Genomic DNA, 17,045 nt, shown 5'->3' with positions numbered 1-17,045 from the left:
TTTCCAGATGCCTCTGCATATTAAATTGCTGACTTCCAGATATATTCTGGTTCTGGAATGGGTAGATTTCTGATATGTTTTAGGTATCTGTAAATCCCGCAAGTTTCTGGCATGTAGTGTCTCTGATCCTTGTTAGTTTGCTATTTAAAGTAGATTTGACATATTCTGTCACTTACTGGTGGTAAATAACGTTTATTTTCTTCTTAGTTCATTTTATTTATATCTTAGTTTAAAAGACATTTTCTTTGATGGAAAATAAAGTAACAGAATAGTAGTGAAGTAGTTATATTCAGTGTTTCTCATTTGTTGACATTTTCCCTGTACTTGAAACATGTACGGTATACCTCATCTTCTTTTTCCTTCTGTGAACAATGGCTGGAATAAAAGCCCTACTTCTATCATTTACTGTGAGCCATTACTGAATCTGGGTGTATTGATGCATGCTGCTTACCTATATGTGTTGAAACAATAAGTATTTATTGAAACATATGAGACATTATACTGTCTCTTTTCCAGTATTGGATTCTATACTGCACTTAGTTTTTCAACATGAAGTACAGAAAACGCCGTAAATTCTGCAGAACTACGTATTACCTTATAATATTGTCAAATACACATCAGTCTGGAAGCATTTTTACAGGGAAATAGCAAATGTATTAATTTAACTTACATTGAACTCTGTCTTAATGCAGCCTTATCACCAGTGCAAGAAATAACTTCTGGGTGGGCATAAGTACACAATATAAGTAAGGTTAACTTTGCCTGGTGTCATAGCCAGTTCTTTTGACATTTGTCTGTTCCCCCTCCACGCCCAACCATAGCACTTGACCGAGAATAATACGTTCTTCATAAATCAGTCAGTCACTTACAATTCTACATTGTTGCAGATAGAAAAATAATTAGTATTTCGAAATTTTTCATAGTTTTGTTATATTGGGACTAATTCTTCCTAATTAAAAATAATGTTTTAACGTATTAATTCATTCTTTCTGTATAATTTATTTTCAGGAATATCCTACTTATCCCGATTCAGCATTTCAGGTCACCACTGGATATCAGTTGCCTGTATATAATTATCAGGTAATGTAAGAGGGAGTAAAATGATTTGCTTTCAGGTATTATTGGGGCCTTTAACTTTTTTAGACAAATTTCCTGAACAGTTGGTCATTTTAAACTAGTGAAGTGTACCTAAAATTTAAGGAAACACTTAGAATTAGTGTAGAATGAAGACATCTGTCTTATTTAGAAGTAATGAAGTAGTATTTTGAGAGGAATATACCTGGCAATAACATTTCTGTAGAAGAGATTTCTGAGATGTGGTGTTCTCTCCTTTACTTCTGGATGTAGTTTTCATCTTTACTGTGAAATAGCTGAATGAAACATCCAAACTGACTTTCATGAATTTTCTTAGGGAGATAGAGTGAAATAAATTTCTGCTGCACTTTTCAGAGCACAGAATCCCAATTACATTTTCATTTTAGCTGGCTGTTTGAAGATAGTAATTCTCTGGATCTCTTTTCATAGATACAAGTATATCTATGACCCATAATTATATCTATGGTAATAAACTGAAAGAGGTAGTATCTTGGAGGTTTCCACATTGCCAACTCCTGAAAATTTGGAGAAAGATGAAGTTTCAAATATAAAAGTAAGAAGAATGTCATGGACTAGAAACATGATGTACTTAAGTTTTCCTTTCTGTTACTTTTATTATAATAAAAAAGGAGACAGCAGGATAAGGACTTCAATATTGTGTTTCTCATGAGTTTTTGAAAATGTGTAGGAATACTTTAATAGTTTTGGTGTCCTTTTTTTTTTTTTTTTTTTTTTTTTAAGATGCCACCATAGGGGCCTGTTGGGGAGCAAAGGGATTCCGTTCTTGACGTTAAGTGAATTAGCCAAACATAGACTTCCTGTTCATTCTTGATTTTTTTCCATGTCCTATATGCCTATAAATATTTTTAAGTGATTCTTTATATTAATTTTTTTGTCGTTGTTACTTTCTTGTTAACCCGATTATGAACTCCCATGGGAGCAAGAGTGCCTTTTTTGCCCTCAGGTTTTTATGTGCCTAAGCAATGGCAGGTCCACATAATGATAGACTATATAATCACAGAAAAGTAGTATTCACTTGACTTTAGAATTATCACGTATCTGCCAATAATCAGCCTCTGGCTTTACCAGCAATAGAAAATTTATAGAAGAGAAACAGAATTGCTTTGCTGTTAATGACGCTTAAATAAGAACAGGAGTGAACGAGAGTATTACCTCCAAATCACCGGAGCTGCTTTCCCCCTTATAAGCAGTTCCTAAAGTGAATGAAAGCAGCTCTCCTTATGTGTCTGCCTACTTTATTCTTCGGTAAGTTTAGCAGTTCATCTAGCTATCCTTTATTTGAAATGATTTCCAGATGCCTCCTCATATAAATTGCTGACTTCTGGATATTTCCTGGTTCTGGAATGGGTAGATTTCTGATGTGGTTTAGTATATATATGTAAACCCCGTGAGCTTCTGGCATCTAATTTCTCTGATCCTGGTTACATTGATATTTAAAGTAGGGTTTGACATACTCTGTCACCTACTGTTGATAAATAACGTTTATATTCTTCTTAGTTCATTTTATTGACGTGTTAGCTTTAAAGACATTTTCTTTGACGGAAAATGAAGTAACAAAATAATAGTGAAATAGTTATGCAGTGTCTCTAATTTGTTGATATTTTGCATGTACTTGAAACTTGTATGGTATACCTCTTCTTTTTCCTTCTCTGAACAATGGCTAGAAAAAAAGTCCTACTTTTTTCTGTCATTTACTGTGAGGCATCACTGATTCTGGGTGTATTCATGTATGCTGCTACCTGTATGTTTTCAAACAATAAGAATTTATTGAAACATGTAAGACATTATACTTTCTCTTCTCCAGTATTGGATCATAGACTGCACTTAGTTTTTTGTAATGAAGTACAGACAAAGCCATAACATCTGTCGAACTACATATTACCCTATAATATTGTCTGATACAAAACAGTCTGGAAATATTCTTACAGAGAAATTGCAAATGTATTAATTTAACTTACCTTGCAATCTCTCTTAATGGAGCCTTACCACCAGTGTAAGAAATAACGTCTGGGTGTGAATAAGTACACAGTATAAGGTAAACTTTGGTGAAGTAGTCAATTCTTTTGTCATTTGTTCCCCCTTCACACCCATAGTGTAGCACTTGACCTAGAATCTTTCTTTCTTCATAAAGTCAGTCATTCATTTGGAATTCTGCATTGTTGTACGTAGAAAAAGGATATTTTACCTTTTGTAATATTTTTGTTATATTGGGAATTATATTTCTTTGTAATTTTAAAAAGTGGTTTACCATATTCATTTTTTTCTGCAACCTTTCTTTTCAGCCATTTCCTGCTTATCCAAGATCACCATTTCAGGTCACTGCTGGATATCAGTTGCCTGTATATAATTATCAGGTAATGTAAGAAGGAGTAAAATGATTTACTTTCAGGTATTACTGAGGCATTCAACTTGTTTATACAAATTTCCTGAATAGTTGGTCATTTTAAATTAGTGAAGTGTACCTAAAATTTAAGGAAACACGTAGAAGTAGTGTAGAATGAAGACCTCTGTCTTATTTAGAAGTAATGAAGTAGTATTTTGAGAGGAATATACTTGGCAATAACTTTTCTGTAGAAGAGATTTCTGAGATGTGGTGTTCTCTTCTTTATTTCTGGATGCAGTTTTCATCTTTACTGTGAAATAGCTGAATGAAACATCCAAACTGACTTTCATGAATTTTCTTAGGGAGATAGAGTGAAATAAATTTATGCTGCACTTTTCAGAGCACAGAATCCCAATTACATTTTCATTTTAGCTGGCTGTTTGAAGATAGTAATGCTCTGGATCTCTTTTCATAGATACAAGTATATCTATGACCCATAATTACATCTATGGTAAGAAACTGAAAGAGGTAGTATCTTTGAGGTTTCCACCTTGCCAACTCCCGAAAATTTGGAGAAAGGTGAAGTTTCCAATATAAAAGTAACAAGAATGTCATGGACTAGAAACATAAAGTACTTAAGTTTTCCTTTCTGTTACTTTTATTATAATGAAAAAGGAGACAGCCGGATAAGTACTTCAATGTTGTATTTCTCATGTGTTTTTGAAAATGTGTAGGAATACATATAATAGTTTCGGTGTCCTTTTTTTTTCTTTCTTTTTCTTTCTTTTTTTTTTTTAAGATGCCACCATAAGGTCCTGTTGGGGAGCAAAGGATTATGTTGTCCTTGACGTTAAGTGAATTAGCCAAACATAGATTTCCTGTTCATTCTTGATTTTTTTCCATGTCATATATGCCTATAAATATTTTTAAGTGATTCTTTATATTAATTTTTTTGTTGTTGTTACTTTCTTGTTAACCCGATTATAAACTCCCATGGGAGCAAGAGTGCCTTTTTTGCCCTCAGGTTTTTATGTGGTTAAGCAATGGCAGGTCCATATAATGACAGACTATATAATCAAAGAAAGGTAGTGTTCATGTGACTTTACAATTAGCATGTATCTGCATAGAATCTGCCTCTGGCTTTACCAGCAATAGAATATTTATAGAAGAGAAACAGAAATGCTTTGCTGTTAATGACGCTTAAATGAGAATAGGAGTAAACGAGAGTATTACCGCCAAATCACCGGAGCTGCTTTCCCCCTTATAACCAGTTCCTAAAGTGAATGAAAGCAGCTCCCCTTATGTGTCTGCCTACTTTATTCTTTGGTAAGTTTAGCAGTTCATCTAGCTATTCTTTATTTGAAATGATTTCCGGATGCCTCCTCATATAAATTGCTGACTTCTGGAAATATTCTTCTTCTGGAATGGGTAGATTTCTGATGTGGTTTAGTATATATATAAACCCCGTGAGCTTCTGGCGTCTAATTTCTCTGATTCTGGTTACACTGATATTTAAAGTAGGGTTTGACATACTCCATCACTTAATGTTGATAACTAACCTTTATATTCTTCTTAGTTCGTTTTATTTATGTGTTAGCTTAAAAGACATTTTCTTTGATGGAAAATGAAGTAACAAAATAATAGTGAAATAGTTCTGCGGTTGTCTCTAATTTCGTGATATTTTCCATGTACTTGAAACATGTATGGTATACCTCTTCTTTTTCCTTCTCTGAACAATGGCTAGAAAAAAAGCCTTACTTGTTTCTGTCATTTACTGTGAGCGATTACTGAATCTGGGTGTATTCATGTATGCTGCTACCTGTATGTTTTCAGATAATAAAAATTTTTTGAAATATATAAGACATTATACTTTCTCTTGTCCAGTATTGGATTATAGACTGCACTTAGTTTTTCGTAGTGAAGTACAGACAAAGCCATAACATCTGTCAAACTATATATTGTCCTATAATATTGTCTGATACAAAACAGTCTAGAAATATTCTGACAGGGAAATAGCAAATGTATTAATTTAACTTACCTTGCAATCTCTCTTAATGGAGCCTTACCACCAGTGTAAGAAATAACTTCTGGGTGTGAATAAGTACACAGTATAAGGTAAACTTTGGTGAAATAGTCAATTCTTTTGTCATTAGTTCCCCCTTCACTCCCAAAGTGTAGCACTTGTCATAGAATCTTTCTTTCTTCATAAAGTCAGTCATTCATTTAGAATTCTGCATTATTGTATGTAGAAAAACAATATTTTACCTATGTTTGTTATATTCAGAATTATATTTCTTTCTAATTTTAAAAAAATGGTTTACCGTATTCATTTTTTTCTGGAACCTTTCTTTTCAGGCATTTCCTGCTTATCCAAATTCACCATTTCAAGTCGCCACTGGATATCAGTTCCCTGTATACAATTATCAGGTAATGTCAGAGGGAGTAAAATGATTTGCTTTTAGGTATTATTGAGGCCTTTAACTTGTTCATACAAATTTCCTGAATAGTTGCTCATTTTAAACTAGTGAATTGTACCTAAAATTTAAGGAAACACTTAGTGTAGAATGAAGACCTCTGTGTTATTTAGAATAATGAGGTAGTATTTTGACAGGAATATACTTGGCAATAACTTTTCTGTAGAACAGATTTCTGAGATTTGGTGTTCTCTTCTTCATTTCTGGATGTAGTTTTCATCTTTACTGTCAAATAGCTAAATGAAACGTCCAAAGTGTCTTTCATGAATTTTCTTAGGGAGATAGACTGAAATAAAATTATGCTGCACTTTTCAGAGCACAGAATCCCAATTACATTTTCATTTTAGCTGGCTGTTTGACGATAGTAATGCTCTGGATCTCTTTTCATAGATACAAGTGTATCTGTGACCCATAATTATATCTACGGTAATAAACTGAAAGAGCTAGTATCTTTGAGGTTTCCACATTGCGAAATCCCGAAAATGTGGAGAAAGCTGAAGTTTCCAATGTAAAAGTAACAAGAATGTCATGGACTAGAAACATAAAGTATTTGAGTTTTCCTTTCTGTTACTTTTATTACAATAAAAAAGGAGACAGCAGGATAAGTACTTTAATATTGTGTTTCTCATGTGTTTTTGAAAATGTGTAGTAATACTTCAATAGTTTTGGTTTCCTTTTATTTATTGATTGATTTTTTAAGATTCCACCTTAGGGGCCTGTTGGGTAGCAAAGGGATTATGTTGTCCTTGACGTTAAGGGAATTAGCCAAACATAGACTTCCTGTTCATTCTTGATTTTTTTCCATGTCATATATGCCTACAAATATTTTTAAGTGACTTTTTATGTTAATGTTTTTTTTGTTGTTGTTTCCTTCTTGTTAACCCGATTATAAACTCCCATGGCAGCAACAGTGCCTTTTTTGTCCTCAGGTTTTTATGTGCTTAAGCAATGGCAGGTCTACATAATGATAGACTATATAATCAAAGAAAGGGAGTATTCACGTGACTTTAGAATTAGCATGTGTCTGCACAGAATATGCCTCTGGCTTTACCAGCAGTAGAAAATTTATAGAAGAGAAACAGAAATGCTTTGCTGTTAATGACGCCTAAATAAGAATAGGAGTAAAGGAGAGTATTACCTCCAACTCACCGGAGCTGCTTTCCCCCTTATAAGCAGTTCCTAAAGTGAATGAAAGCAGCTCTCCTTATGTGTCTGCCTACTTTATTCTTCGGTAAGTTTAGCAGTTTATCTAGCTATCCTTTATTTGAAATGATTGCCACATGCCTCCTCATATAAATGGCTGACTTCTGGATATATTCTGGTTCTGGAATGGGCAGATTTCTGACGTGGTTTAGTATATATATATAAACCCGGTGAGTTTCTGGCATGTAATTTCTCTGATCGTGGTTACATTGATATTTAAAGTAGGGTTTGACATAGTGTGTCACTTACTGTTGATAAATATCGTTTATTTTCTTCTTAGTTCATTTCATTGATGTGTTAGCTTAAAAGACATTTTCTTTGACAGAAAATGAAGTAATGAAATAATAGTGAAATCGTTCTGCTGTGTCTCTAATTTGTTGATATTTTCCATGTACTTGAAACATGTATGGTATACCTCTTCTTTTTCCTTCTCTGAACCATGGCTAGAAAAAAAGCCCTACTTGTTTCTCTCGTTTACTGTGAGGCATTAGTGATTCTGGGTGTATTCATGTATGCTGCTACCTGTATGTTTTCAAACAATAAGAATTTGTTGAAACATGTCAGACATTATACTTTTTATTCTCCAGTATTGGAATATAGACTGCAATTAGTTTTTTGGAATGAAATACAGACAAAGCCATAACATCTATAGAACTACATATTACCCTACAATATTGTCTGATACAAAACAGTCTGGAAATATTCTTACAGCGAAATTGCAAATGTATTGATTTACCTTACATTGCAATCTGTCTTAGTGGAACCTTATCACCAGTGTAAGACATAATTTCTGGGTGTGAATAAGTACACAGTATAAGGTAAATTTTGGTGAAGTAGTCAGTTCTTTGTCATTTGTTCCCCCTTCACACCCAAAGTGTAGCACTTGACATAGAATCTTTCTTTCCTCATAAAGTCATTCATTTGGAATTCTGCATTGTTGTATGTAGAAAAAGGATATTTTCCGTTTTGTAATATTTTTCTTATATTGGGAATTATATTTCTTTCTAATTTTAAAATGTGGTTTACCATATTCATTTTTTCTGCAACCTTTTCAGGCATTTCCTGCTTATCCAAATTCACCAGTTCAGGTCACCACTGGATATCAGTTGCCTGTATACAATTATCAGGTAATGTAAGAGGTAGTAAAATGGTTTGCTTTCAGGTATTATTGAGGCCTTTAACTTGTTTATAGAAATTTCCTGAATAGTTGGTCATTTTTAACTAGTGAAGTGTCCCTAAAATTTAAGGAAAGACTTAGTGTAGAATGAAGACCTCTGTCTTATTTAGAAGTAATGAAGTAATATTTTTACAGGAATATCCTTGGCAATAACATTTGTGTAGAAGAGATTTCTGAGATTTGGTGTCCCCTTCTTCATTTGTGGATATAGTTTTCATCTTTGCTGTCAAATAGCTGAATGAAACATCCAAACTGACTTTCATGAATTTTTTTAGGGAGATAGAGTGAAATAAAATTATGATCCACTTTTCAGAGCACAGAATTCCAATTATATTTTCATTTTAGCTGGCTGTTTGACGGTAGTCATTCTCAGGATCTCTTCTCATAGATACAAGTATATCTATGACCCATAACTATATCTATGGTAATAAACTGAAAGAGCTAGTATTTTTGAGGTTTCCACATTGCCAACTCCCAAAAATTTGGAGAAAGGTGAAGATTCAAATTTAAAGTAACAAGAATGTCATGGACAAGAAACATAAAGTACTTAAGTTTTCCTTTCTGTTACTTTTATTATAATAAAAAAGGAGACAGCGGAATAAGTACTTCAATACTGTGTTTCTCATGTGTGTTTGAAAATATGTAGGAATAGTTTAATAGTTTTGGTTTCCTTTTTTTTTTTTTTTTTTAAAGATGCCACCTTAGGGGCCTGTTGGGGAGCAAAGGGATTATGTTGTCCTTGACGTTAAGGGAATTAGCCAAACATAGACTTCCTGTTCATTCTTGATTTTTTTTCCATGTCATATATGCCTATAAATATTTTTAAGTGACTCTCTATATTAATGTTTGTTGTTGTTGTTGTTACTTTCTTGTTAACCCGAGTATAAACTCCCATGGCAGCAACAGTGCCTTTTTTGCCCTCAGGGTTTTATGTGCTTAAGCAATGGCAGCTCCACATAATGATAGACTATATAATCAAAGAAAGGTAATATTCACGTGACTTTAGAATTAGCATGTAGCTGCATAGAATCTGCCTCTGGCTTTACCAGCAGTAGTAAATTTATAGAAGAGAAACAGAAATGCTTTGCTGTTAATTATGCTTAAATAAGAATAGAAGTAAAGGAGAGTATTACCTGCAAATCACCAGAGCAGCTTTCCCCCGTATAAGCAGTTCCTAAAGTGAATGAAAGCAGCTCTCCTTATGTGTCTGCCTACTTTATTCTTCCGTAAGTTTAGCAATTCATCTAGCTATCCTTTATTTGAAATGATTTCCAGATGCCTCCTCATATAAATTGCTGACTTCTGGATATATTCTGGTTCTGGAATGGGTAGATTTCTGATGTGATTTAGTATATATATATAAACCGCTTGAGTTTCTGGCATCTAATTTCTCTGATCCTGGTGACATTGATATTTAAAGTAGGGTTTGACATACTCTATCACTTACTGTTGATAAATAACGTTTATATTCTTCTTAGTTCATTTCATTGATGTGTTAGCTTAAAAGACATTTTCTTTGATGGAAAATGTAGTAACAAAATAATAGTGAAATAGTTCTGCGGTTGTCTCTAATTTCGTGATATTTTCCATGTACTTGAAACATGTATGGTATACCTCTTCTTTTTCCTTCTCTGAACAATGGCTAGAAAAAAAGCCTTACTTGTTTCTGTCATTTACTGTGAGCGATTACTGAATCTGGGTGTATTCATGTATGCTGCTACCTGTATGTTTTCAGATAATAAAAATTTTTTGAAACATATAAGACATTATACTTTCTCTTGTCCAGTATTGGATTATAGACTGCACTTAGTTTTTCGTAATGAAGTACAGACAAAGCCATAACATCTGTCAAACTATATATTGTCCTATAATATTGTCTGATACAAAACAGTCTAGAAATATTCTGACAGGGAAATAGCAAATGTATTAATTTAACTTACCTTGCAATCTCTCTTAATGGAGCCTTACCACCAGTGTAAGAAATAACTTCTGGGTGTGAATAAGTACACAGTATAAGGTAAACTTTGGTGAAATAGTCAATTCTTTTGTCATTAGTTCCCCCTTCACTCCCAAAGTGTAGCACTTGTCATAGAATCTTTCTTTCTTCATAAAGTCAGTCATTCATTTAGAATTCTGCATTATTGTATGTAGAAAAACAATATTTTACCTATTTTTGTTATATTCAGAATTATATTTCTTTCTAATTTTAAAAAAATGGTTTACCGTATTCATTTTTTTCTGGAACCTTTCTTTTCAGGCATTTCCTGCTTATCCAAATTCACCATTTCAAGTCGCCACTGGATATCAGTTCCCTGTATACAATTATCAGGTAATGTCAGAGGGAGTAAAATGATTTGCTTTTAGGTATTATTGAGGCCTTTAACTTGTTCATACAAATTTCCTGAATAGTTGCTCATTTTAAACTAGTGAATTGTACCTAAAATTTAAGGAAACACTTAGTGTAGAATGAAGACCTCTGTGTTATTTAGAATAATGAGGTAGTATTTTGACAGGAATATACTTGGCAATAACTTTTCTGTAGAACAGATTTCTGAGATTTGGTGTTCTCTTCTTCATTTCTGGATGTAGTTTTCATCTTTACTGTCAAATAGCTAAATGAAACGTCCAAAGTGTCTTTCATGAATTTTCTTAGGGAGATAGACTGAAATAAAATTATGCTGCACTTTTCAGAGCACAGAATCCCAATTACATTTTCATTTTAGCTGGCTGTTTGACGATAGTAATGCTCTGGATCTCTTTTCATAGATACAAGTGTATCTGTGACCCATAATTATATCTACGGTAATAAACTGAAAGAGCTAGTATCTTTGAGGTTTCCACATTGCGAAATCCCGAAAATGTGGAGAAAGCTGAAGTTTCCAATGTAAAAGTAACAAGAATGTCATGGACTAGAAACATAAAGTATTTGAGTTTTCCTTTCTGTTACTTTTATTACAATAAAAAAGGAGACAGCAGGATAAGTACTTTAATATTGTGTTTCTCATGTGTTTTTGAAAATGTGTAGTAATACTTCAATAGTTTTGGTTTCCTTTTATTTATTGATTGATTTTTTAAGATTCCACCTTAGGGGCCTGTTGGGTAGCAAAGGGATTATGTTGTCCTTGACGTTAAGGGAATTAGCCAAACATAGACTTCCTGTTCATTCTTGATTTTTTTCCATGTCATATATGCCTACAAATATTTTTAAGTGACTTTTTATGTTAATGTTTTTTTTGTTGTTGTTTCCTTCTTGTTAACCCGATTATAAACTCCCATGGCAGCAACAGTGCCTTTTTTGTCCTCAGGTTTTTATGTGCTTAAGCAATGGCAGGTCTACATAATGATAGACTATATAATCAAAGAAAGGGAGTATTCACGTGACTTTAGAATTAGCATGTGTCTGCACAGAATATGCCTCTGGCTTTACCAGCAGTAGAAAATTTATAGAAGAGAAACAGAAATGCTTTGCTGTTAATGACGCCTAAATAAGAATAGGAGTAAAGGAGAGTATTACCTCCAACTCACCGGAGCTGCTTTCCCCCTTATAAGCAGTTCCTAAAGTGAATGAAAGCAGCTCTCCTTATGTGTCTGCCTACTTTATTCTTCGGTAAGTTTAGCAGTTTATCTAGCTATCCTTTATTTGAAATGATTGCCACATGCCTCCTCATATAAATGGCTGACTTCTGGATATATTCTGGTTCTGGAATGGGCAGATTTCTGACGTGGTTTAGTATATATATATAAACCCGGTGAGTTTCTGGCATGTAATTTCTCTGATCGTGGTTACATTGATATTTAAAGTAGGGTTTGACATAGTGTGTCACTTACTGTTGATAAATATCGTTTATTTTCTTCTTAGTTCATTTCATTGATGTGTTAGCTTAAAAGACATTTTCTTTGACAGAAAATGAAGTAATGAAATAATAGTGAAATCGTTCTGCTGTGTCTCTAATTTGTTGATATTTTCCATGTACTTGAAACATGTATGGTATACCTCTTCTTTTTCCTTCTCTGAACCATGGCTAGAAAAAAAGCCCTACTTGTTTCTCTCGTTTACTGTGAGGCATTAGTGATTCTGGGTGTATTCATGTATGCTGCTACCTGTATGTTTTCAAACAATAAGAATTTGTTGAAACATGTCAGACATTATACTTTTTATTCTCCAGTATTGGAATATAGACTGCAATTAGTTTTTTGGAATGAAATACAGACAAAGCCATAACATCTATAGAACTACATATTACCCTACAATATTGTCTGATACAAAACAGTCTGGAAATATTCTTACAGCGAAATTGCAAATGTATTGATTTACCTTACATTGCAATCTGTCTTAGTGGAACCTTATCACCAGTGTAAGACATAATTTCTGGGTGTGAATAAGTACACAGTATAAGGTAAATTTTGGTGAAGTAGTCAGTTCTTTGTCATTTGTTCCCCCTTCACACCCAAAGTGTAGCACTTGACATAGAATCTTTCTTTCCTCATAAAGTCATTCATTTGGAATTCTGCATTGTTGTATGTAGAAAAAGGATATTTTCCGTTTTGTAATATTTTTCTTATATTGGGAATTATATTTCTTTCTAATTTTAAAATGTGGTTTACCATATTCATTTTTTCTGCAACCTTTTCAGGCATTTCCTGCTTATCCAAATTCACCAGTTCAGGTCACCACTGGATATCAGTTGCCTGTATACAATTATCAGGTAATGTAAGAGGTAGTAAAATGGTTTGCTTTCAGGTATTATTGAGGCCTTTAACTTGTTTATAGAAATTTCCTGAATAGTTGGTCATTTTTAACTAGTGAAGTGTCCCTAAAATTTAAGGAAAGACTTAGTGTAGAATGAAGACCTCTGTCTTATTTAGAAGTAATGAAGTAATATTTTTACAGGAATATCCTTGGCAATAACATTTGTGTAGAAGAGATTTCTGAGATTTGGTGTCCCCTTCTTCATTTGTGGATATAGTTTTCATCTTTGCTGTCAAATAGCTGAATGAAACATCCAAACTGACTTTCATGAATTTTTTTAGGGAGATAGAGTGAAATAAAATTATGATCCACTTTTCAGAGCACAGAATTCCAATTATATTTTCATTTTAGCTGGCTGTTTGACGGTAGTCATTCTCAGGATCTCTTCTCATAGATACAAGTATATCTATGACCCATAACTATATCTATGGTAATAAACTGAAAGAGCTAGTATTTTTGAGGTTTCCACATTGCCAACTCCCAAAAATTTGGAGAAAGGTGAAGATTCAAATTTAAAGTAACAAGAATGTCATGGACAAGAAACATAAAGTACTTAAGTTTTCCTTTCTGTTACTTTTATTATAATAAAAAAGGAGACAGCGGAATAAGTACTTCAATACTGTGTTTCTCATGTGTGTTTGAAAATATGTAGGAATAGTTTAATAGTTTTGGTTTCCTTTTTTTTTTTTTTTTTTTAAAGATGCCACCTTAGGGGCCTGTTGGGGAGCAAAGGGATTATGTTGTCCTTGACGTTAAGGGAATTAGCCAAACATAGACTTCCTGTTCATTCTTGATTTTTTTTCCATGTCATATATGCCTATAAATATTTTTAAGTGACTCTCTATATTAATGTTTGTTGTTGTTGTTGTTACTTTCTTGTTAACCCGAGTATAAACTCCCATGGCAGCAACAGTGCCTTTTTTGCCCTCAGGGTTTTATGTGCTTAAGCAATGGCAGCTCCACATAATGATAGACTATATAATCAAAGAAAGGTAATATTCACGTGACTTTAGAATTAGCATGTAGCTGCATAGAATCTGCCTCTGGCTTTACCAGCAGTAGTAAATTTATAGAAGAGAAACAGAAATGCTTTGCTGTTAATTATGCTTAAATAAGAATAGAAGTAAAGGAGAGTATTACCTGCAAATCACCAGAGCAGCTTTCCCCCGTATAAGCAGTTCCTAAAGTGAATGAAAGCAGCTCTCCTTATGTGTCTGCCTACTTTATTCTTCCGTAAGTTTAGCAATTCATCTAGCTATCCTTTATTTGAAATGATTTCCAGATGCCTCCTCATATAAATTGCTGACTTCTGGATATATTCTGGTTCTGGAATGGGTAGATTTCTGATGTGATTTAGTATATATATATAAACCGCTTGAGTTTCTGGCATCTAATTTCTCTGATCCTGGTGACATTGATATTTAAAGTAGGGTTTGACATACTCTATCACTTACTGTTGATAAATAACGTTTATATTCTTCTTAGTTCATTTCATTGATGTGTTAGCTTAAAAGACATTTTCTTTGATGGAAAATGTAGTAACAAAATAATAGTGAAATAGTTCTGCGGTTGTCTCTAATTTCGTGATATTTTCCATGTACTTGAAACATGTATGGTATACCTCTTCTTTTTCCTTCTCTGAACAATGGCTAGAAAAAAAGCCTTACTTGTTTCTGTCATTTACTGTGAGCGATTACTGAATCTGGGTGTATTCATGTATGCTGCTACCTGTATGTTTTCAGATAATAAAAATTTTTTGAAACATATAAGACATTATACTTTCTCTTGTCCAGTATTGGATTATAGACTGCACTTAGTTTTTCGTAATGAAGTACAGACAAAGCCATAACATCTGTCAAACTATATATTGTCCTATAATATTGTCTGATACAAAACAGTCTAGAAATATTCTGACAGGGAAATAGCAAATGTATTAATTTAACTTACCTTGCAATCTCTCTTAATGGAGCCTTACCACCAGTGTAAGAAATAACTTCTGGGTGTGAATAAGTACACAGTATAAGGTAAACTTTGGTGAAATAGTCAATTCTTTTGTCATTAGTTCCCCCTTCACTCCCAAAGTGTAGCACTTGTCATAGAATCTTTCTTTCTTCATAAAGTCAGTCATTCATTTAGAATTCTGCATTATTGTATGTAGAAAAACAATATTTTACCTATTTTTGTTATATTCAGAATTATATTTCTTTCTAATTTTAAAAAAATGGTTTACCGTATTCATTTTTTTCTGGAACCTTTCTTTTCAGGCATTTCCTGCTTATCCAAATTCACCATTTCAAGTCGCCACTGGATATCAGTTCCCTGTATACAATTATCAGGTAATGTCAGAGGGAGTAAAATGATTTGCTTTTAGGTATTATTGAGGCCTTTAACTTGTTCATACAAATTTCCTGAATAGTTGCTCATTTTAAACTAGTGAATTGTACCTAAAATTTAAGGAAACACTTAGTGTAGAATGAAGACCTCTGTGTTATTTAGAATAATGAGGTAGTATTTTGACAGGAATATACTTGGCAATAACTTTTCTGTAGAACAGATTTCTGAGATTTGGTGTTCTCTTCTTCATTTCTGGATGTAGTTTTCATCTTTACTGTCAAATAGCTAAATGAAACGTCCAAAGTGTCTTTCATGAATTTTCTTAGGGAGATAGACTGAAATAAAATTATGCTGCACTTTTCAGAGCACAGAATCCCAATTACATTTTCATTTTAGCTGGCTGTTTGACGATAGTAATGCTCTGGATCTCTTTTCATAGATACAAGTGTATCTGTGACCCATAATTATATCTACGGTAATAAACTGAAAGAGCTAGTATCTTTGAGGTTTCCACATTGCGAAATCCCGAAAATGTGGAGAAAGCTGAAGTTTCCAATGTAAAAGTAACAAGAATGTCATGGACTAGAAACATAAAGTATTTGAGTTTTCCTTTCTGTTACTTTTATTACAATAAAAAAGGAGACAGCAGGATAAGTACTTTAATATTGTGTTTCTCATGTGTTTTTGAAAATGTGTAGTAATACTTCAATAGTTTTGGTTTCCTTTTATTTATTGATTGATTTTTTAAGATTCCACCTTAGGGGCCTGTTGGGTAGCAAAGGGATTATGTTGTCCTTGACGTTAAGGGAATTAGCCAAACATAGACTTCCTGTTCATTCTTGATTTTTTTCCATGTCATATATGCCTACAAATATTTTTAAGTGACTTTTTATGTTAATGTTTTTTTTGTTGTTGTTTCCTTCTTGTTAACCCGATTATAAACTCCCATGGCAGCAACAGTGCCTTTTTTGTCCTCAGGTTTTTATGTGCTTAAGCAATGGCAGGTCTACATAATGATAGACTATATAATCAAAGAAAGGGAGTATTCACGTGACTTTAGAATTAGCATGTGTCTGCACAGAATATGCCTCTGGCTTTACCAGCAGTAGAAAATTTATAGAAGAGAAACAGAAATGCTTTGCTGTTAATGACGCCTAAATAAGAATAGGAGTAAAGGAGAGTATTACCTCCAACTCACCGGAGCTGCTTTCCCCCTTATAAGCAGTTCCTAAAGTGAATGAAAGCAGCTCTCCTTATGTGTCTGCCTACTTTATTCTTCGGTAAGTTTAGCAGTTTATCTAGCTATCCTTTATTTGAAATGATTGCCACATGCCTCCTCATATAAATGGCTGACTTCTGGATATATTCTGGTTCTGGAATGGGCAGATTTCTGACGTGGTTTAGTATATATATATAAACCCGGTGAGTTTCTGGCATGTAATTTCTCTGATCGTGGTTACATTGATATTTAAAGTAGGGTTTGACATAGTGTGTCACTTACTGTTGATAAATATCGTTTATTTTCTTCTTAGTTCATTTCATTGATGTGTTAGCTTAAAAGACATTTTCTTTGACAGAAAATGAAGTAATGAAATAATAGTGAAATCGTTCTGCTGTGTCTCTAATTTGTTGATATTTTCCATGTACTTGAAACATGTATGGTATACC

General features: G+C 33.3%; 1 protein-coding gene across 1 annotated transcript in view; it reads left to right on the top strand.

The window, feature by feature from the left end:
• The window catches only part of DAZ3 (deleted in azoospermia 3), a 50,325-nt gene that overhangs the window by 11,501 nt on the left and 21,779 nt on the right, over positions 1-17,045 (top strand). Inside the window, exons 8-14 of the mRNA NM_020364.4 lie at positions 1,009-1,080; positions 3,399-3,470; positions 5,795-5,866; positions 8,172-8,243; positions 10,551-10,622; positions 12,928-12,999; positions 15,308-15,379. Of these exons, the coding sequence (NP_065097.2) occupies positions 1,009-1,080; positions 3,399-3,470; positions 5,795-5,866; positions 8,172-8,243; positions 10,551-10,622; positions 12,928-12,999; positions 15,308-15,379 (504 nt within the window). The remainder of the gene's footprint in view (positions 1-1,008; positions 1,081-3,398; positions 3,471-5,794; positions 5,867-8,171; positions 8,244-10,550; positions 10,623-12,927; positions 13,000-15,307; positions 15,380-17,045) is intronic.

Source organism: Homo sapiens, chromosome Y (assembly GCF_000001405.40).
Source record: "Homo sapiens chromosome Y, GRCh38.p14 Primary Assembly".
Classification (NCBI taxonomy): Eukaryota; Metazoa; Chordata; class Mammalia; order Primates; family Hominidae; genus Homo; species Homo sapiens.
The sequence above is the reverse complement of the archived record's forward strand: the minus strand, read 5'-3'. Positions and strand labels throughout refer to the sequence as shown.